General features: G+C 39.3%; 1 protein-coding gene across 13 annotated transcripts in view; it reads left to right on the top strand.

Annotated features, from left to right (window-relative positions):
- The window catches only part of STARD3NL (STARD3 N-terminal like), a 52425-nt gene that overhangs the window by 18078 nt on the left and 10861 nt on the right, over positions 1 to 23486 (top strand). For 2 of the 13 annotated variants that reach the window (NM_001363340.2, NM_032016.4), the window contains 6 exons: positions 11125 to 11407; positions 18035 to 18112; positions 18706 to 18783; positions 20703 to 20756; positions 20866 to 20983; positions 23243 to 23338. In NM_001363340.2, the coding sequence (NP_001350269.1) occupies positions 11183 to 11407; positions 18035 to 18112; positions 18706 to 18783; positions 20703 to 20756; positions 20866 to 20983; positions 23243 to 23338 (649 nt within the window). In that variant the 5' untranslated portion in view covers positions 11125 to 11182. Of the gene's footprint in view, positions 1 to 1891; positions 2044 to 5391; positions 5645 to 5747; positions 5876 to 11124; positions 11408 to 18034; positions 18113 to 18705; positions 18784 to 20702; positions 20757 to 20865; positions 20984 to 23242; positions 23339 to 23486 lie in introns of those variants that run through there. The other 11 variants (NM_001363344.2, NM_001363345.2, XM_047420920.1 and 8 more) reach the window with 10 other exon arrangements.

The raw sequence follows: 23486 nt of genomic DNA on the forward strand, positions 1-23486 counted from the left end.
CCCTCTTCTCCTCTTTAGACTTGAGCATGTGCCTGTCAGCTTGTTCTCATTGCTTGGCTTGTGAGCTATTTTGTTTCTTTGAGGATATAGCACATCTACTGTGATTCATTATGTGTTTTTTTAATAGTGTAACTCTCAGTATTCCTTTGTTTCAAAATTATTCCCCATTGTAGACCTGATGATATATATCTATGGAATGCTTTGTAGAGTTTCATACATAAACTTCTTTTTCTCTGTTTCTTTTTTTAAAATTTCACTCGTTTTCACTTGGCACGTTAGGAATTTGCTGACAAAATTTGATTCTTTGACTCCAAAAATATTTTTTAATTTGAAGTAATACCAAATAACTGGCCGAGTGAGTTTATTTAAATGCCTTATAGAATTTTTCACATAATATTTTGAGATGACTGGTTTTTACCCAGATTTCTCTATATAGTAGCTTTCTATTGCCTCAGCTATTAATTTGGATGTAATTTATGAAATAAATTTTTAGAAAAAATATTTCTAAAATTGGGACTACTGGATTTAAATTTTAAACCCCTGTTTTTTTCTGGACATTGTATTTAATATGGATCATATAGGGCACACAGGAAAACAAGGCTGCTTTGAAATGTCAACGTAATTGTAATGGGCAGTTCGCCAAAGAAAGATTTGTTTGCTTTTGGCTTTATGAAACTTTTCCTGTAGAGCTTCGTGGTGAAGCTTCTCAGACTCAGGAGGTTGGAGTGTCACACACATGCATCAGCTCCCTAACCTTGCCCACTGCCAGTCCTTTCCCTGTGAATTTCTGATCCTGTGAGATAGCATTACCTTTTTTCTTTCTTTCTTTCTTTCTTTCTTTCTTTCTTTCTTTCTTTCTTTCTTTCTTTCTTTTTCTCTCTCTCTCTTTCCCTCTCTCTTTCTTTCTTTCATTTTTTTTTTCTTTCAGGGCCTTGCTCTGTCTCCCAAGCTAGAGTGCAGTGGCGTAATCTTAGCTCACTGCAGGCTGGAACTTCTGGGCTCAGGTGATCCTCCTGCCTCAGCCTCCCGAGTAGCTAAGACTACAAGTCTACACTGCCATACCCAGCTAATTTTTAAATATTTTGAAGAGATGAGGACTCACTGTGTTGCCCAGGCAGCTCTCAAACTACTTAGCCTCCCAAAGTGCCAGGATTATATTTGTGAGCCACTGTGCCCAGCCACTTGTTTCTTTTTTTAAGAATAGCTTATCTACAAACCATCTTTGAGGTGTTTTCAAAATGTAGACAGCCTCATGTAGGCAGACATTAAGCAGAACTTTTTATTTTATCTAAGTTTGAATTACTGGTTGAATTTGACATATCAGTTTTCCAGGTCTTGTTAGCATGCCATAATGTTCCTCATGTCACATGGGTGCCTTTAGAATATGACGGTGACGCTGTCTTGCTGTGTTTTAGTACTCTGGATTAGCTTCCTTCCCACATCTCTCTTCTCTAAGCATGCTTATTTTTAAAGCATCTGTGTTTTTTCAGGCCTCTTTCTCATACTAGCAAGGTAAGTTTATAAATGTCAGGTTATTCCCTCACTGTTCCCATTTCCTACTTCTAGCTGCTTCACCTCGGAAGGTGAGGGCTCTAAACAGGACTTTTGTGTCATTAACCAGGTCTCATAACAGTGGGGGGCCTTGCAAGACAGCCAGCTCAGGCTGCTTCCTGCTTCCAGGGGCACCCAGTCCCAGGATACAGTGGTCACAGCCATGGCAGTCTGTCCTTTGGGACTCTCAAATCCCATGACTGTATTTCGCACACCATGTGAACACTTCTTGATGTGTCTCCTACTTTCTTCTGTGAATCTGGGGTAAGGCAGGACGATAGAGAGGAAAGAGCCAAGTTTTAATCCTAACTATACACTATCTTGAAATATCTCTTAGATGGATCCATGTAGGCCCCACCGTTTTTGCCTGTAAAAAGAGTCAGAAAGATCAGGCTGGCAAAGTCAATTGCCTCCAGGCTAGGTGAAGATTGAGGCCAACTGGAGAGTGCGTGCCCCACTGAAAGTGGTCAGCAGCTTGGCTTTATTATCATGGTAAGAGAATGCAGACCTGGTGATTCTATATCTTTTGACTTTTCAAGAGAAGCTGGAAATCTGGGTAAAAAATAATTAATTAAAATGTTAGCAGTTAAGTCAGTATCTTAAGAAACACTGTACAAGACCAAGAAAACATGTCTCTAAGCCAAATCATCTCCAAAGACCTTTAGCTAAGATGATGACTAAGGCCTTTCTAAATTAAATATTTTTAATGTCTATTATTCCAACATTCTTTTGGAGGAAAACATACAGTGTCCTGGCTGCTGCCATAAGTAGTGCTGAGAAGGCTGGGTGGTTGGGTTGAGAGACTTGGCTTGGCTGTCAACAGGAGGTGCACAGTCTCTCTCTTCTCCTCCTAGGAAGGCTGAGAGATTGTGGGGCTCCTGTAAAATGCAAGTAGTGGTAGCTCCTGCTCCATAGCAGCTGCTGTCCACCATCTGGGTAGTGTCACTTCTGTGTGGAAGCAGATGGAGCTGATGTTTTGACCCGGCTCTGTACCCATCATGAGGTGCAGCCTAGATCAGGTGAAATTCAGGCAACGTACAGACCTGTGAGCTTGAGAATAAATGTATAGGTTACTTTAAGCCATTGAGTTTTTAGTGATTTGTTAATGTAGCATAAATAGAAATAGCTGACTGATAATGTAGTATAGAGGAGGATAGTTACACATTGGTATAAAACAAGACATCAATCTCTTTTTCAGAAAACAACCAAAGGGGATTCTCATCTTCTCACCCAAATGTTTTTCTTTATTTTCTAATTCTTCACTCCCATACTTCCCACACAGTTGGGATAAATTCTGAATTGCAGATTTAGCTTCCTGTGTATACAGCCAATCAATACTTAGCACCCTCTTTAGAGAGGTATGGCTTTCCTTAAGCCAACCCCAGAGAGGATCTCAGTACCCCGGATTGAATATTTAATACTTCTGAAATGACATCTGGAAAAATACCCAAGCTTTTCCTCAGAAACAAAAACAAACAGTTGTAATCTCCTGAATTCAACAGAGATTGCTGAGAGCCTACTCTCTGCTAGTATATGTGCTAGATGCTAGATAGAATTTATGCAGTTGATATTTGTTCTGTTCCTGCTGTCTGTCGTGTGCTGTGGTCAAATTCAGAGCCTTTAAGGAATATACTAGTTAGTGGGAGAGGCAGTGAAGTGGATAATTAAGGCCTAGTGTGGTAAGCAGTATCATTAAGTGGCACATCCACAGACTTAGGGGAGCTTGGGGGAAATGCATCTGACTGCCTGGAGGTTGGAATATGGGGAGCATTCAGAAAAGTCTCTCTGAAGGAACTCACCCTGTACTTCAGCTTTCTGAAGGATATGGTTAGGATGAAATCCAATAACCAGACAGTAGAAAGTGGCTGTAAGGAATGATCCTTCTCTTTACTCATTAAAAGGAAGGGCTCTTTCTCAATGAGTGTCAGAATCACATGGTTCAGGTATTGGGGATTAACCAAGAGCCACATGTGATATTGGTGCATATGCACACCAAAAATTTATAACTTGATTGTGTATGAAAATTCCATGACACTTTTTCTGCACTTTCTCAGACTCTCTTGGCATTGCCTCAAGAACCTGCAGCCACGGGCTTTGCTGGGCAGGCAGCTCTAATCTAGTCTGTGGGGTTCCAGCACCTAGGCTAGCCAGTCCCACACACAGTTTTTGTATCTTCCCTCAAGACTCGAATGAAATGCCATCCCAGAAATGTGTAATCTGGCTTTAAGAGAGGCTACCTTAGGCAGATGAAGCAACTAGAAATGTAGTAGAGTTAACTCACTGTCAGGAGGAATTTGACAGGTGGAAATAGGCAACAAGAAGCAGCTGGGTAGATGTAGTCCTCCCCACTGTTCCCCTCAAAGCCCCCACCCCAGACTGCTCTGAGGCATGGTTTCTCCATTTCACCCATCTGGAAATGTATCACCTGGCTGAATGTACCTGTCTGCCCTTAACCTGCTGTGTCGCTTCAAGGCTGGTGAAGAAGCTAGTGCAGTGCTTCTCGTTCTTCCCTGTTCCACTATTTTTAATTCTCATTTAACCTATATATTTTTTAAGGAACTCAGGCTAAACGTTCTATGTGTTAAGCCTGAGTTCTTAAAAACATTTAGAAGTGTATCTAGTATATTAACTCAAATACATTTGTATTTAGAATGTTTTAACTCAACAATGAAATGAGTCACAGAAAAAGAAGCCAGTCTTATTTTAAGGGCTAATAATGCAGAAATCAAGAGTTTCCTACAGAGCATAAATTAGCTGATATTTCCTTAGTATTTTTCACCAGTGCTTCCCAAATTTCCCAGTTTACAGTCTGCTTTGTAGGAGTAAGAAAGATTCTTGAGCTCTCCCTTCCCACTAGTCCACAGGCCCTTACCGATCCCCCAAATAGATTATCAATCAGCAGTAATTGTTTTTTTGGGGGGATGGGGAGTAGAGCCTGTCAACTTTGTTGACCTGCTGTTGTGTGCTGCAAGAGGCCATATGTGACTGTTAGTTTCACCAGCAGTAAGGGAGATAGAAGACAAAGATGGCCAAATGTTTCTGAGTTTGAATAGTATGTTTCTAACATGAGTCCCTCAAACTAATTTTTCTTCTTCTCTAATTTTTCTGTTTTTAAGTAAAAGTTTCACTCAAAAAATTAATTCTAGAAGTCTGAACCATATGTTTTCATAACCTAACAGAGATTAACCTTGTCATTGGTTACATCTAGACCAATTAATTCACTGGATTAAGTAGGTAAACTATAAAGAAAAAGAAAAGCAAGCTCACTCTCCTTTTTACAACTTCCCTTTTTCCCAGAGAAAGATCAGTTTGATTAGAGCCAATCTGCTCAGAGATGTCTCTGCTTTGTGTAACTTTTTTTATTGAGGTGAAAGTATCTATAAATTCTTGCTAATTAGCAGTTACACATATACATATGAAAAATAATGTAATGATTCTCATTTCCCAAGCCATGTATTTCCATTGTGTATTTAATGTCTTTTTTTATTTTGAAATATATTTCACATTTCTGAGATTGATACGTTTCTTAATCTTTCTTATTCACAAGAAGTGGGTTTGTGGAAGGAAAAAGGAGTGAAACTAAGAAAATGATTTAATTTCCTTGAAAATGATCTTCCTCCTAAAATCAGTCCTTGGTTTGAATTTTGAATTCGTTCAATTTTCTGTACATATTAGTGAATTTAATAATTTAAATTAATTTTAAAATATAGCTGCTAATTATTAGACTGGCTTAGAATTATTTGAGTTGCTTTTTCATAATGTAGGATATATTGTTGCAAAAATATGTCTGTATTCATTCATCCAGATTTCTTTTTTTTTGTTTGTTTTGTTTTGAGACAGGGTCTTACTCTGTTGCCCAGGCTGGAGTGCAGTGGCACCATCTCAGCTCACTGGAGCGTCTGCCTCCAGGTTCAAGTGATTCTCCTGCCTCAGCATCCCAAGTAGCTGGGACTACAGGTGTGCACTACCACTCCTGTCTAATGTTTGTATTTTTTGGTAGAGACAGGGTTTCCCTATGTTGGCCAGTCTGGTCTTGAACTGCTGGCCTCAAGTGATCTGCCCGCCTCGGCCTCCTAAAGTGCTGGGATTACAGGTATGTGCCACTGCACCCGGCCTCAGCTATTTTCTTAAACTTAAAATATGTGTTTCATCACAAAAGATGTATTAATTACATTCATATTTACTTACTGTTTCAGAATTAACTCCTAGAATTCTGACAGGCGGTAGTGCTTTGCAAGCTTTGTGTTAAGAGCTGCTACTGGGGAATATGTTGTTGCTGTACCTTCCACTAGGGTGGCATTGATCTCATTAAGACAGAAATTATGTAAGAATGCTTTTAATTTGGGAGCTTATTATTTTCTTTCCTTTTACTAAATGCTTAAGTGGCTTCTTACTGAGTTTTTCAAAATGCTTTGCTGATTTGCTGACTCTGAGGAAACAAATTGAATGACAGAGACACATTACCTAATGTTGCCTATATTGGCAGAAAAGAAAGGGAAAGGCTGCTTAGGGTTCTGAGGACATCTGTACAGAACCCCAGCAAAGTGATGTTTGAATTTAGTGCCTCTCATTGTAAACATATAACAAGTGCAAAAAGTGTGAAAAAGGCCAAAGGAGGGGGAAAATATAATCTCATTAGTCCGAGAGAATCATTGGTAATATCTGATATATTTCTTTTTTTTTAACATTTTTATTTTTTTATATTTTATTTTTATTATACTTTAAGTTTTAGGATACATATGCACAACGTGCAGGTTAGTTACATATGTATACATGTGCCATGTTGGTGTGCTGCACCCATTAACTCATCATTTACATTAGGTATATCTCCTAATGCTATCCCTCCCCCCTCCCCCCACCCCACAACAGGCCCTGGTGTGTGATGTTCCCCTTCCTGTGTCCAAGTGTTCTCATTGTTCAATTCCCACCTATGAGTGAGAACATGCGGTGTTTGGTTTTTTGTCCTTGTGATAGTTTGCTGAGAATGATGGTTTCCAGCTTCATCCATGTCCCTACAAAGGACATGAACTCATCATTTTTTATGGCTGCATAGTATTCCATGGTGTATATGTGCCACATTTTCTTAATCCAGTCTATCATTGTTGAACATTGGGGTTGATTCCAAATCTTTGCTATTGTGAATAGTGCTGCAATAAACATACATGTGCAAGTTGGAAAACACTCTGCAGGATATTATCCAGGAGAACTTCCCCAATCTAGCAAGTCAGGCCAACATTCAAATTCAGGAAATACAGAGAATGCCACAAAGATACTCCTCGAGAAGAGCAATTCCAAGACACATAATTGTCAGATTCACCGAAGTTGAAATGAAGGAAAAAGTGTTAAGGGCAGCCAGAGAGAAAGGTCGGGTTACCCACAAAGGGAAGCCCATCAGACTAACAGCTGATCTCTCGGCAGAAACTCTACAAGCCAGAAGAGAGTGGGGGCCAATATTCAACATTCTTAAAGAATTTTCAACCCAGAATTTCATATCTAGCCAAACTAAGCTTCATAAGTGAAGGAGAAATAAAATACTTTACAGATAAGCAAATGCTGAGAGATTTTGTCACCACCAGGCCTGCCCTACAAGAGCTCCTGAAGGAAGCACTAAACATGGAAAGGAACAACCGATACCAGCCACTGCAAAAACATGCCAAATTGTAAAGACCATCGAGGCTAGAAAGAAACTGCATCAACTAACGAGCAAAATAACCAGCTAACATCATAATGACAGGATCAAATTCACACATAACAATATTAACCTTAAATGTAAATGGGCTAAATGCTCCAATTAAAAGACACAGACTGGCAAATTGGATAAAGAGTTAAGACCCATCAGTGTGCTGTATTCAGGAAACCCGTCTCACGTGCAGAGACACACATAGGCTCAAAATAAAGGGATGGAGGAAGATCAACCAAGCAAATGGAAAACAAAAAAAGGCAGGGGTTGCAATCTTAGGCTCTCATAAAACAGACTTTAAACCAAGAAAGATCAAAAGAGACAAAGAAGGCCATTACATAATGGTAAAGGGATCAATTCAACAAGAAGAGCTAACTATCCTAAATATATATGCACCCAATACAGGAGCACCCAGATTCATAAACATAAAGCAAGTCCTTAGAGACCTACAAAGAGACTTAGACTCCCACACAATAATAATGGGAGATTTTAACACCCCACTGTCAACATTAGACAGATCAACGAGACAGAAAGTTAACAAGGATATCCAGGAATTGAACTCAGCTCTGCACCAAGCAAACCTAATAGACGTCTACAGAACTCTCCACCCCAAATCAACAGAATATACATTCTTCTCAGCACCACACTGCACTTATTCCAAAATTGACCACATAGTTGGAAGTAAAGCACTCCTCAGCAAATGTAAAAGAAGAGAAATTATAACAAACTGTCTCTCAGACCACTGTGCAATCAAACTAGAACTCAGGATGAAGAAACTCACTCAAAACCGCTCAACTACATGGAAACTGAACAACCTGCTCCTGAATGACTACTGGGTACATAACAAAATGAAGGCAGAAATAAAGATGCTCTTTGAAACCAACAAAAACAAAGACACAACATACCAGAATCTCTGGGACACATTTAAAGCAGTGTGTAGAGGGAAATTTATAGTACTAAATGCCCACAAGAGAAAGCAGGAAAGATCTAAAATTGACACCCTAACATCACAATTAAAAGAACTAGAGAAGCAAGAGCAAACACATTCAAAAGCTAGCAGAAGGCAAGAAATAACTAAGATCAGAGCAGAACTGGAGGAGGTAGAGACACAAAAAACCCTTCAAAAAATCAATGAATCCAGGAGCTGGTTTTTTGAAAAGATCAACAAAATTGATAGACCGCTAGCAAGACTAATAAAGAAGAAAAGAGAGAAGAATCAAATAGATGCAATAAAAAATGATAAAGGGGATATCACCACCGATCCCACAGAAATACAAACTACCATCAGAGAATACTATAAACACCTCTACGCAAATAAACTAGAAAATCTAGAAGAAATGGATAAATTCCTCGACACATACACCCTCCCAAGACTAAACCAGGAAGAAGTTGAATCTCTGAATAGACCAATAACAGACTCTGAAATTGAGGCAATAATTAATAGCTTACCAACCAAAAAAAGTCCAGGACTAGACGGATTCACAGCCGAATTGTACCAGAGGTACAAGGAGGAGCTGGTACCATTCCTTCTGAAACTATTCCAATCAATAGAAAAAGAGGGAATCCTCCCTAACTAATTTTATGAGGCCAGCATCATCCTGATACCAAAGCCTGGCAGAGACACAACAAAAAAAGAGAATTTTAGACCAATATCCCTGGTGAACATCAATGCAAAAATCCTCAATAAAATACTGGCAAACCGAATCCAGCAACACATCAAAAAGCTTATCCACCATGATCAATTGGGCTTCATCCCTGGGATGCAAGGCTGGTTCAATATCTGATATATTTCATAGGTACCTTCTTATAAGAATTCGGTTTAGGTTTATTTTACAGAGTTCTGAACATACTGTGTCTGTGTGTATTCCATTTAGTATTTGATTTTTAATTTAGTTATCATAACCCAGGCATTTTTTCTAAGTCATTATAAATGCTTCATAAACATTTATTTTAGTGACTATACTGTGGCTATACCATGATTTATCTAATTATTCTAATTAGTTATTTAGGTTGTTTTCTAATTGATACTATTATAGATACCTTATGATAAAGTCTTTTAATATGGATTTTTATTGAAATATAATATACACTATTCAGTTGTGTATACATGTATATACTATATAGCATTTTGAATTTTTCATGAGCCAACACATGACTAAAACTACTGTGTACATCAATAAATTATCACTAAATGAACACAACTATGTTACCACTACTCAGGTAAAGAAATAGAACTTTACCAAGTCCCCTAAATATGCCCTCTACCCTCTGCCTTCTAATCACTGTTTCTTTCCTCTTTCTTGAAGATAATCACTAACCTGACCTTTAAGGCCATAGATCAGTTTTTGCTTTGAAGGTCTGTAGTTTGATTAATTTCATTTAGATTTAGGGTTACAAGATCAGGAAGTATGGAGGTTTTAAAGTATCTTATTTCACATAATCAAATTGCCTTCATAAATGCTGTGCCATTTTACCACCACATTGTTAAAAAGTATGAGAAAGACTTTTGTTCCTGAGTGTGGAAAGGAAGAGAAATCAGGGTCAAGTGTAAAGAGACGAAGTTCTGGACAGTGAATAATAGGACCAAATGGGATCATATTGCTTTAGGGAAATCTCAGCTGTCTGTTTCTAAATTCTATTTTATGGCTTTGAAAATCCTCTTCTTTACCTAGACATTGCCAGTCATTGTGGCAGAAAGAAAGGAGAGTGTGGTGAGCCACATACTGGCGATTCATGTACCAGCTCTGGACACAAGTGGCATATGAACTTCTGCCCACGTTACATGCCACGTTCATGGCTAAAGAACAGATAGGAGTTCAGTAGAGCCAGGAGTATATAATCCCACAGGGAGAGGTCCTACAGGAAAGGAAACTAGGCTGCTTGACAATCATACCATCCACCACACTTCGTTTAATGTCTTTGTCCCATCCATAAGCAGATCAGATTATTTGGATTACTCATTTTTAATTTTTATTATAAAAGTGCCCTCTGGTCTTGAGGGGCCTGCATCTCTGTATAGGACTATATCTTCTGTAATTATTGGTCAGGTGGTTTGCATAGTGCTAAACTTTTTGTTTAGTGTGTGCACTTCTTTTCCAAGAAGAGGCCTAGAAACATGCTTGTTCATTAAGAGGATGGGGAAATGCTAACTAACTTTAGTTTATAAGGTACTTTTGATGGAAAGAAATTCCTCCTCAGGAAGTAAGGATATTTGTGTGATTTTTGTTTTTCGTTTGAGGCAGTGTCTTGCTCTGTTACCCAGGCTGGAGTCCAGTGGCATGATCATAGCTCACTATAACCTCAACTCCTGGGCTCAAGCGATCCTCCTATGCAGCTCCTGAGTAGTTAGGACTATAGGCATGTGCTGCCATGCGCAGCTGATTTTTCTTTTTTCTTTTTTGTACAGACAGGACCTTGCTATATTGCCCAGGCTTGGAAATAAGCTTTTTTATAGCTAATTTACACATTCTGCTTACATGCTCCAGGAAAGCATTCAGTAGATGATTTTCTAGCCCATGCACAGTTATACTTACAGGACTGTGGAGGTTTTCTCCCTGTCACAGCAAGGTAACTGAGTCGTTCACCAAGAGGTTTGGTCCAGGTCATCAGGAACACCTTTCAGTTGTAGCTAACATCCTGCCTTCACCCTTTCCTACAGTCAGTTTGCTTCTTCTCTCTTGCCATTCTTTGCTAAAACAGCTATTTTGTAGTATTGCTCTAAAACATTATGTGTTGCTTCTCATTTCTCTTTCTCTTTATGTCTTCATGAAAACATAAATCAGTCAAGGTACTCTGTTGTTCAGTTAGAGAAATAGTTGCACAGTGGAGAGGGTTGCACAGTTATATTTGATCAGCTTGGATTTAACATGGTGTCTCTTTTTTATTTCCCAAAGGTGTCTTCTCTTTAGGGATGGTGAGGTTGGAAAAAGGCTCCTGTAACCCTCCTCCAGGATGAACCACCTGCCAGAAGACATGGAGAACGCTCTCACCGGGAGCCAGAGCTCCCATGCTTCTCTGCGCAATATCCATTCCATCAACCCCACACAACTCATGGCCAGGATTGAGTCCTATGAAGGAAGGGAAAAGAAAGGCATATCTGATGTCAGGAGGACTTTCTGTTTGTTTGTCACCTTTGACCTCTTATTCGTAACATTACTGTGGATAATAGAGTTAAATGTAAGTTGGTGGTTCTTTCATAACTTTTTAAGAAGTGTTTCCAGAGACAACAGGGTTTTTTTGTTCGTTTCTCTTATCATTTGTTTCATTTAGTAATTTCCATCTTTTTCCAAATGAAGCCATTGCTTTTCTCCTCCTGATTTGGACCTTTCTTGTTCTTTAATATTATTGTTTAAGGCAAATGTGATCAGTTTAAAACTCATGTTGTCTGGGGTTTTGAAATTTGAATTCCTGGTATTTTGCTCTGTAACAGGAGTTGACAAACTATAGGCTGTAAGACAAATTCAGTAGGCCTGTTTTAATAAAGTTTTATTGGAACGTGGCCAGGCCTGTCTGTTTACATATTGTTTATGGCTGGCTTTTGCACTGAGTAGTTGCAGTTGAATAGTTGTGACAGAGACCCTCTGACCCACAAAGGCAAAAATATTTGTTCTCTAGTCTTTTTCAGAAAAAGTTTACCCATCCTTCCTCCAGAAAATGTAGAATGCTTTTGGAATATGTTTTAGATGTTTCATGTACTTTTCTAGTTCCTAGGTTTAAGATTTTGCACATGTTTGTTCTTTACTTTCTTGCAAAGAGATTACTTATTTATATTTCATCGGAAAAGTTGTCCTGGAGGCATTTGGAGGTTTATGCAGTTATTCTGTATTACCAACTAATTGTTTAGACCAGTACTGTCCAATAGAAATATAATGCAAACTATTAAATATGTAATTTAAAATTCTCTAGTTGCCACATTAATAAAAATCAAACAGATGAAACTCATTTTAATAATATTTTTTATTTAACCCAATATATGTGTTTTCTTCCCAAAGCCTTTGGTCTGATTGTTTACATTTCTTACCAACCAATAGGTGAGCTCCTCCAGGAGGTTTTCCTCACAAGCAAAAAGTGTCTGCTTTCCTATTTTCAGCAGTTCATTTATTTCCAGGAAATGTTTGCTAAGACCTAGGTAGTAATCATTATTCCCTGTTGTTTATTTTTAGGGGGTTACTCTTTGCTAGGCACAGTGCTAGATGTTTTATGAGAATTTATTATAATACAAAAATATGAAAAGATGCTGAGATTCCTGTTTGAAAATTATTTAAAATTTTGCCTTTTAACAGCAAGAAGCAGCATCTTAATCTAATTTTTGATTAGTATTCTAATTCATAGCATAATTTCAATTCTAAACTCTATTCTCTTAATAATTAGGGTCACTGAATCTCATTTAATTTCATCATGAATCCTAATAGAGGAACTAAACTCGTTATGAAAGCAGACAGTTACATTAGAAAATAATATTTGTCCCATAATCACAGTGACATGGAACATGAGTCCACTGTTAAGTTTCTGTTTACAGATTTTTCTTCTGTTAATTTTGCACTGTGGGATTGTTAAGTTTTGTTTATAATCAGACAGCCCAGTGATATGACATAGTAATTTAGAGTCTCTTTTTGCTATGTGTTCCACATATGCACATTAAAGAAAATATTTTAATTAATGTATATTTTAAAGGAGTAATATGATTTCAAAACTGTAGCTATGTAATGAGAGATGAAAAGGAAATGCGTCTTTTTTTTTTTCTTTTTTGAGACAGAGTCTTGCTCTGTCACTCAGGCTGGAGTGCAGTGACACGATCTTGGCTCACGCAACTGCCACCTCCTGGGTTCAAGCAAATCTCTTGCCTCAGCCTCCAGAGTAGCTGGGACTACAGGGCGCACACCATCACGCCTTGCTAATTTTTTTGTATTTTTAGTAGAGACAGGGTTTCACCGTGTTGGCCACACTGTTCTCTATCTCCTGACTTCATGATCTGCCTGCCTTGCCCTCCCAAAGTGCTGGGATTATAGGTGTGAGCCATCGCGCCTGGCCGGAAATGCATCTTTTAACAGGAAACACATCAGTAGTTTTAAGGGGGCACACTTTAAATTTATTTTAACGTCAACAGCAAGTCCGGGCATTCATTGCTTTGGCTGCTTATATCACTGTATGCCTTTAAATGAGGAAAGTCATGGGGTAGAACTGTGGTGGGGTTCATGGGATCACACTTCTCATTTCTCTCCTTTCTGTTTTGTCCAGGGAAGTGGAAATGAAGTAGGCTGCCCCCTGTTCTTGTTCACAGACAAGTTATCTGTTTACATCTGCATGCAACGTGTTATAAATGAAAAATCACCAGGCCTAGCAATTTAGAAATGTGTTTTTATCCTCACTTTTCCACCAACTACTAGTTTCCCCACCTGTAAAATTAAAAGATTGGAAAAGGGTATATGATCAAGCAAGAACATCAGGACTTTTTTTAGTATGATTGTTTTTCGATGCCCAATTTCTAGTTCTACTTGTTTTGAATTGTCAGTCTTGACCTGGTGTTTTCACTACACGCAGTACCATTCATTTTGCTTTGTTGTCTCTCTGTAACTCTCTAATCATTCAAATCCATTTTTTTAAACATGTCTTTACATTTACCAAATGCCAGAGAACAGGCTTCTAATTCAGGTGTTGCAAGCTCTACCAAAAAAAACTATATGGGATTTAGAGTTTAGCTGAATAAATATGGCACATAATCTTATACTGCCTTGTGATGTAGTCTTTAAAAGAAGAAAGAAAATGTCATAAAGGGTGCTTAGAGCTTTAGAATATGGAGAACCAGCTGTTCTTTGCAATTATAACAATAACCAAACTACTTTGCCTTCATGTATGACTTCCACCTTAGCCACCTTCCCTCCTTGCCACAGGGACCTGACTGGCACCATCCCAGCCTCAAATGCAGGGCTCGGTGAGCCAGAGAAGCCTAACACCACCTTAGTTCATTTTCCTTCTAGAAGATCTTAGGGCTGCTGATCTCTTTTCGGTCAATCAAAAGGATGGTTTTGATTCTATCCAAGGCCTCTTGGTCCACCTTTGAGTAGACTGATTTCCCAAGTTGGATCTGGAATTAATTATGGCTTGCGTTCCCTGAGGACTCTTTTCCCTCTGCAGACTCTCTCCTACACTCTGTAGACAGTGTGAACAGGGATCAAAGTAGTGACAGTTGAAAGGAATTTGGTTTTCTTTTTAGCTTTTGATACTTGATTGAGACTATGGTTCAAAAAAAGCCTTTATCAATGCTTAGTGACTTTTTTCTTACTATTTTCTAACTGGCGTTCTAGAAAATGTCATAACAGTCCTAATTTGACTTAGAGCTGTCGTGACCAGGTCTTTGGCCTTGGGCAAGCTGTTTAATAAGTTCTCTGGGCCTTTTGATCAATTTAATAAACTAATACTGGTCTTGCCTTCCTCATGGGTCCATGTGAAGATCAAATGGAAAGATGTATACAGCAGCCCCTTTGAAGATACAAAGGTCTGCATGATTATAGTTCATGTAATTTATTAATAACTAAAATAAATTTAACCCAGAAAGAAGAAAAAAATGCAGGTTACTGTTTTCTCACTATTGTTACATTTAAGTTTCAGGTACTTATTACCCTGCTAATTCTGATTCTATTACCTCATTCCTACTATGCTCTATAAATGGTGATGACCAAGTATAATAGAAATTCAGATGAGGTAGATCAGTGGCTTGGACTGTTTGAGGGAGTGAATGGAAGAGATGGACTGTGAATTGGATTTGGAAGGATAGGTGGCAGTTAAGATGGGAGGATGATCTGGGAAGGATGATCCTTCAGTGTGGGAGCTTGGGGAGAGGGTTTGGAGATCACGGCGCATGGAAGTACTGAGGCAGGAGTGAGTGCTTATGTGTGGGGAGTACGTGCTCAAGTGCTTGTATTTGGAGGGAACAGGGACAGAGGCTAAGAAAATACTAGCTTGGTTAGAAAGTAAGGTGCCTATTGGAAATGAAATTGAATAGGTAGGCTGGTGCTAGATTATTCAAGTTATTAAAAGGTATATAGAAGGATTTGTATTTACTGCAATGGTGAGCTGTTACAGATTCTGGAGCAGATTGGACAACATGATTTTGAGATTTTCCAGAAGTCAGTGACTCACAGTCTACATCACAGCCTCCTTGACCTGTCCAGTTGGATGTCTGACTTAACATGTTTCCCCCAATGCATACACACACCTGCTTTCCCCCTTTTTCATCAGTAAGAAAATGCAGAGACTTAGGCCAAACATGAAAACGCATTTTGATTTGCTTGTTTTGTATTTTTCATGCTTCATATCCAGTCTAAAAGTAAGTCCTGTCAAATCTGCCTCTAAAATATATTCAAAATGTGACCACTTCTCTTCTTTTCCACTGTTTCTCCTTTTCCACTGTTTCCCTTCTTTTCCACTGTTTCCCTTTCTTTTCCACTGTTTCCAGCTTCAACCAAGCCACATTATCACTCATCCAAACTGCACTCCTGGCTGGTCGCCTGCTTCCTCTCACCCTGCAATCCATTCTTCTCACAGTAGCCAGGGTAACCTGTGAAAAACAAAAGTCAGATCATGTCACTTTCTGTTACAGCTCTTCACTGGCAGGCCATGCTTTTAGAATAAAATCCAAATGTCGTACTTTGGCTTGCAGAGGCCCCAGAAGCCTCTCAGACTTCCTCCCCACCCTCTGTTCCTGGCTCACGGTAGATGAGCACACTTGCCTTCTTCTGTTCTCAGAAAGGAATAAGCTCCTTTCTATCTTGGGACCCTTCTACTAGTTGTTTCTTCTATATGAAATGATTAATTTCCTTTATCTTTTTATAGAATTCAACTTCTTATTTTGCTAGTATCAGTTTAAATGTCTTCATTATTCTGTCACACTGTCCTGCTTCTGTTGTCTGTGTAGCATTTGTTTTCTTATTTGCTATCTCTCTCACCTTGCCAGAATATAATCTCCATGAAGACATATTATTTTGTTTACTGAAGTATTTCCTATATTTAGAACAGTGCCTGGTGCGTAGTAGATGCTCAGCAAATATTTGGTGAATGGATAAAGATCATTGTGGCAGTGGTGAGCAGGTGGGACAGATTGGCAGTAAGAACATGAATTCGGAAGCTGTTGCAGGAATGTCATGGAAGGCGGTGGGAATAGGAAGGAAAGAACTAACCTGAGAGTCACTAAAGGAAGGAGTATGAGAAGACTTGTTGATAGGCCGATTTTATCATCCCCAGTATGCAAAGATGACTCTAAAGTTTCCAGTGATGAACTCTAGAAGAGTAGTACCAGAACTGACTGGGAAGGGATTTTGTGTGAAACTAAAGATAGTTTATTTAAGACATCTTGAGGTAGAGACAAAAATTTTGAAATGAGGATTTAGAGTATAAGTTAGGGATAGAGATATACATTTTAGATAATGTCTGTTTAAAGCCAACTCCAAATCAGAGCATTTTAAAGTATGCAGATACCAGAGAAAAGCTATGGGCTATTTATTGCAAAACTCTATGGGCTGCTTTGATTCCTGTTCTCCCAGGAATAGCAAGGGGAGGTCTCTATGTGGTAGAGAACTCCTGTTTGCTGTAGGCCGCTTGGAATAATCATTCTTATAATATTCTGGATGTTGACAAGTTTCCTTAGTCCGGAGAGACAGTAATGAGACTAAATGGTTGGGTGTCTTTCAATCATTATTCCTCCTTCCTCCCAGGTTTTCAATTCTATTCATTTGTAGAGGTCTGTAGCCAAGCAGGTCTACAGAGGATCCATACTAATTACAAAGAAATGTAGACCTCCTTAAGGGATTTTCGGGCACAGGATAGTATTTATGGTATGCTTTCATTTTTGCATAACAAATACAAATATGTGAAATGATACCTAAGCTAGGAATACCCTTCCCTATGGCAACTTTCATTCGAATTTGAACCTGGCAAAGGTGTTCCTTAATGTTTTCCCTCTTATCCAGGTCTCTGGTTAACTGTCCTTCCATTGGTCCTCTTTTAAACCCTCTGCATTTGTTTGCTCCCTCTGATCAGGCTAATCCAGGGGCTCTGACAGTTACCCTGCTTGGGTGCTGCATTAGCTGCCGACACATGTCCCCTTACTTGATTTTTTAAAAGTATTATGCTCCATAGTTTCATTTGTCGAATTTTGAGCTCGATAATACAAGATTTATTTTGACAGTAGCATTGGGAGAGGACAGAAAGTTGTATCAGGTTTGAGTCTAGTACTGTCCTTATTTCATTATCTATTCATGTTAAAAATATATTTAAATTGATAAAAGTGCAGAATCTTTAAATGCCAGGAGAAATAAAAATGAGAAACCACAGAGAATGTTTACACTTCTATCCTGTGTCATGCTAATGGCCATCATTGACGTTTGCCCGGATGTCGGGGAGTCTTGGCCTTCCAAGACCTAAGACAGTGGAGCGTGATCAGAAAGTAAGGTAGTCCTGGATAAAGGTGAATTGCCTTCTTTAAAAATATACTTTTGTATGATGGAAGACTTTATCTTAGAAGGGAAAAAATAATTTTCTTAACATTTTAATTTTCCCAACTATGAACTACAGAAGCCATTATTTTTCACTATACATTTATATCTGTTGAGTGAATGAATTCAGAGTTGAGGAATTGGAGAGTGCCATCTAGCCCTTTTCTATTAAAATTATGAGAGTTCTTTTCTTCGCACTTTAGCATTTCTGGGTTCTGAGAAGATAGGCAGGAAAGTTGGATAGGAAATCTTACCTTGTTTTATTTCCACACATAAACCTCTCCTTGTTTTTGCTTCTTACTCTCCTTTCTAGGTGAATGGAGGCATTGAGAACACATTAGAGAAGGAGGTGATGCAGTATGACTACTATTCTTCATATTTTGATATATTTGTAAGTATTTTTTATGTTTCATTTCAGATGTGATAAAACTGACCCAAAAGGCAGATTTCCTCTAAATAGACTTCAAATTCCATGCCCTTTTTTCCTCTTTTGAACACTGACCATATTTTCCTTTTCTTTTAATTCCCCACCCATTCAATGTTCTCTCTCTCTAAATAAGGAATTGTGTCATCATCTCAAGGAAATAAAAGATTAATGACAGATAAGGGAGGGCAACAGAAGGAGCCATTCCTATTTTCTTGTTGGAGAGCCTTTATTCTTTCAAATGGCTCAAATAGAACCCATTGACATATCTAGTCACTGAAAGGAAAATTCACCTATTTGTATAATAAGATGATGAAAATGACATCTTTTTTTTCTTGCCTTGTTTTTTCTTTCATAATGGGAGATTAATGTGAGACCTAATTTGCTATTACATTAAGTTGTAGAGCAGGGATTCCCAAATGCTGGTCTACAGACCAGTGCCAGTCCCTGGTAGTCTCCAGCTAAATCACAGTAATGAAGACAGTCTGGTGAGTTTTTCATAAAGCTGTGTCATTTTTGTATATATTTTTTAAAACATCCCTTTATTTTCTTACTTTCAGCTTCTGGCAGTTTTTCGATTTAAAGTGTTAATACTTGCATATGCTGTGTGCAGACTGCGCCATTGGTGGGCAATAGCGGTGAGTATGCCCTGCATGAGTGGGTCATCTCCTCCAGTGCTGGTGGCCAAGTCCTGCTCTCAACAGGCCTGGGCTGGGAGAAGATACAGTTCTAATGCAGGTGGAATCCCACCAGCTTTCCTGAGTCCCGTTTCCTCCATACTTAAGTAGGTTTAATACTCCAGGGCTTCTTTCCAATGTTAATGAGTAACTAGATTTGTCTCTTGGTGCTGAGCCAAATGAGGAATCTAGAAGCCCAACAGTGATTATTGGCCAAGCACCAAGCCACCCTCTACCTCATTTTGCAAATAAGAGATGAGAGGAGACCTCTGTCACAGAGATATTTGGAAAATGTCTTATTTGGTTGAAACTGCTTAGTGATTGTTTTCATGACATGGTCTGTACTTATTTAGGTAATTGCCTTACCCCCTCCTTTCTTCCCCACAACCCCCTGTCTTGGAGGGAAAAGCTCTCAGTCTCTCTGTTGTTGCCTTGGACTTCTCAAGGACAAGGACTTTTTTACTCCTCTGTTTCCTGGCATCTAGCACAGAGAGCTTTGGTATTCTTAATAAGTATTTAGAGATTGATAGAATTACTAGCAGTTCTGCCTGACAGATGTCTGAATATTTGCCTTTTGTAAAGCTTTAATAAGTCAGTTCTATGGGAAGAAAATGTGGAGCTCCTCAGACTAGAGAGAGCTGCTCAGAAATAACCTGCAGTTCTGCAATTAGAGGGTGAGAGCTCGGGTCTGGGTGGCCCAGGCCTGGGTTTCTCCAGCTGGGAATAGGACTTGTGCTGCCCTCCTGAGTCCACTAGGGGGCGATGTCTGTCTGGGCCATGTCTTCTGAGCATTCTCAGAATCACGGGGCAGCGGTCAGACCATCTGTTAATCCGGAAGCTCTCATTTCATGGATATAGGCTGACAGTCTTGGCCAGACTTGACTCCCTTTCCTGAATACTCTTTTGCTGATATCATCATAGCTTTTGATGATTGTACCCTCCCATTTTTCTGCATTTTCTACAACAGATCCCTTTGGGATGTTGTATTCCTGAGTCCCCATATGTATGCTAGTATTTGTCAGACTATCCCTCTCAATGTTTGTTTTAGAAAAGTGTTTGACATATAGATATTCAGTGAGAGCTGTAAGACAGTATCTTCAATATCTGCTTTCAGATTATCTGAAGAATAAGTCTAATTTAGCAAATCATTTTATTGCTTCTGATTCTTGTTTTAAAAAACATTTGCAGAGAAGAGTCTAGAAGCTGGAAGGAGGAGAAGTCAGCTGGTATTTAAAGAGTGCTTAGTGTGAGCCTGTAAAGTTAATTAGTGTCAGAATATAAAATGCTAAACTGCCTCCTCTCCCAAGCAGCTCTGTGTGTGTGTGTGTGTGTGTGTGTGAGTGTGTGTGTGTGTGTGTCTGCAACTTTGTTAATACTTATTGAGCAAGATACTTGGTGTTCCCTGTCCTCCTTCTGTCAGTCAAGCTACTATTGGTATTCATTTTGGTCAGGTTTCACCATGCTAAAAATATTAGTTGAAGGAACAGTGACAAGGCTCAGGTATTATGGTATCTCTGGACTTCACAACCCCTGGCGAGAGCCCTACCTATGCACTTTACCAGTCTCTTCATGTGCTTGTAGAGGCTTTGGAATTGTACCTTCTGGTGGATCAAACTTAGTTACCTAGCACACCAGCCTGCTGAAATGTGGGAGAATAAACCACACACAGTCATTTAGGGATTGTGTCACATGTAGAAGCCCATTTTGCCCCAGTGTGGGTCTAGGGGAGAGAGACTGAGTGATATGGGAAGGAGCCAGGCTAGGCACAGGTTTTTCAGGCCTTGCCTGCTCCTGGCTCAGACGGGTCTCTTGTGAAGAGGGAGGTACCTTCACAGTGTGAGATGCCTAGTGTGAACAGTGCTGGATTATGTGTCTTGCAGTTGACAACGGCAGTGACCAGTGCCTTTTTACTAGCAAAAGTGATCCTTTCGAAGGTATGGCCTACCACTTTTTCTATACAGTTACCATCTTCAGTGATGAAGCCTCGTTTTTCAGTGTGAGTTTGTGGTAACTGCATTTCCCTTTCCTGGTCGTATTTTCCAGCTTTTCTCTCAAGGGGCTTTTGGCTATGTGCTGCCCATCATTTCATTCATCCTTGCCTGGATTGAGACGTGGTTCCTGGATTTCAAAGTGTTACCTCAAGAAGCAGAAGAAGAAAACAGTAAGTTCCTCTCAAAGTCAGCCTCCTGAGGCGGACTGGATACCAAGCTGGGAGGAAGAGATGTGGTTTCTTGGTGTGAATGGGGCTGCAAATGGGTAGAGTTAGGCAGTGGTGGGGTCTTCATTCTTTAGTGGCTACAGCAGAAATCGAGAGAAGGGTTGGGTGGATGAAAGGGTAAGTAACAGAAAGCAGCTCCTCTCTCCAGCTATCAGGCCAGGCTTCCCCTGGAAGAAAATGTGAACACTGGTGAAAAGGGCATTCAAGCAATAACAAAAAATAGCCAGCACTTTTTTCTCCCCAGACAGGTTGTTCTTTTCTCCCTGTTAGCAATAGACAGGACAGTAAGCATTTTGTGCATGTAAACAGAACTGTGCTGTTTAGGGTCAGAGAAAATAAAACCAATTTTAAGTGAGTGGAAGCAACTATTCTAAATACAAGCCAGTGATTCTCCAAAGTCTCCCATTGTGATCCATACAGCAGTTGGTGGCTTCAGATGGGCCTCTGTTAGAACAGTTAAATGCCTAGGGCTGGGGACCATTGGTGGGTTTAGGATGAAGATTATTCACAGGAGGATGACAGCAAGCCAGAGCGACGCTCAGCCTTTCACCATCCTCTGAGTAGCTGAGTCATAGCTAACAAGGTGTACTCATGAATCCTGCCAAAGCTGCTATAATCTCATCATGGCTTTCAATATCCCAGAATATTCACTAGGAAGGCCAAATGATTGATTAAGCTTTATGGTAAATTACCAAGCTGAAATTCTTCTCCACATAATGTCCTTAATGGAAGCCCACATGCCCCACCCACCCATCTTAAAGGTGAAACGATCAAAGCTCATTTCAGACACCCATGCAGTTTCAAGACATGCTGTTTTTATGCCTCTGCTGGCCATCTGGCTCAATTTGCCCTGCCTCATAGGAAAAAAAAAGTATCTTATAGAAAGTTAAGCATGATTATAACTTCAAAAAACAGCAGGATGCAAAATAATCTTGCAAGTGGTTTTATTTTGGAAAATCTCATTTACATAGAAGAAATATATAAGAAAAGGATAATTCAAGAGTAGATTTTAAAAACCCATTAATCAGACTGAGTTGTACCTTCTATCCTGTGCCGTCTATTCCTTTGTGAAAGTGTATCTTGGAGAAGTTATAAGTAAAGCTAATGAAAGTCTTTTTTAATTGTATATAAATATAAAACTGAACTTTGTTGAAAACATATGAACTATTACTATGACTGAGGCTTGAATGGTTATAGGATTAAACCACATTCAAAGTGACTAATAAAGCAGAACACACAATTAATGAAAATTTTAAATTAGCACTTATTTTCATTGTCAGTAGCATGTATGACACACATACCTGGTATCTGCTATTTGGCCTGGTGCTTCCTCCGACTTTATCCTGAGGTTAACTCAGCTTTCAGTCAAAAGAACTTAAGTGTTGGTGGCCTTGCGTGTGTTAGTGTTCCTCAGCTGTCCACGTCCTGCTTTCTTACCTTTTCTTTGCTTTTTTAAGACACTTTTTTTCTTTTGAAACCTTCTTGTTGCATAAATATTTGTCATCTTGATTGTTCTTTATATATTTATAAAAGGCCATCCCTGTATTGCACTTTACATCTGGCATCTCTCTAACCAGATGTAGCCAGCAGACCGTTTGTAGGAACTGACCATGTTTTTTATTTTACTTTTTGTTTTGGTTTTGATACTGTGCTTTTTTGTAGGAAGGCAGGTACTCACAAGGGAAAGATGTAAATACTGAATTATTTATTCTGAGACAGGGCCTCACTTTGTGAAGTGCAGTGGCACAATCATGGCTCACTGCAGCTTTGGCTTACTGGGCTCAAGCAATCCTCCCACCTTAACCTCCCCAGTAGCTGGGACTACAGGCATGCACTACCACACTCGGCTAATTTTTAAATTTTTTATAGAGACAGGGTCTTGCTATGTTGCCCAGGCTGGTCTCAAACTCCTGGGCTCAAGCGATCCTCCATCCTTGGCCTCCCAGAGTGCTATGATGACAGGTGTGAGGCACCATGCCCAGTCTCATGAGGCACTTATTTAAGCTGCTTAGTTATCTGTCTTTACAGTATTGTTTGTCATTTGTTAATGAAACTTATTGTTTGGTTGAAACATTTTTAAAGTACCTCTTTTTCTAAAGGTATTTCATTGTAATAATAATACCATTTTATTTTACTTAATCTTGCCAAAAAGCTACCAGAAAGGTGACCTCATTCCCAACATCTGAATTTCTTCTCTTCCAGGACTCCTGATAGTTCAGGATGCTTCAGAGAGGGCAGCACTTATACCTGGTGGTCTTTCTGATGGTCAGTTTTATTCCCCTCCTGAATCCGAAGCAGGTAAAAAACTTGATTATTATTTGTGCTTGTATCTCTCATTCAAAGGCTCTGCTCTTCCTTCCTTTCCCTACCCCCTCTGTTTCTCAATATACTTAGCTAACATCTAACATGCCAGGCATTAGGGATATGAAAATAGGTGAGACACGGT

The sequence above is a fragment of the Homo sapiens genome, chromosome 7 (genome assembly GCF_000001405.40).
Source record: "Homo sapiens chromosome 7, GRCh38.p14 Primary Assembly".
Lineage (NCBI taxonomy): Eukaryota > Metazoa > Chordata > Mammalia > Primates > Hominidae > Homo > Homo sapiens.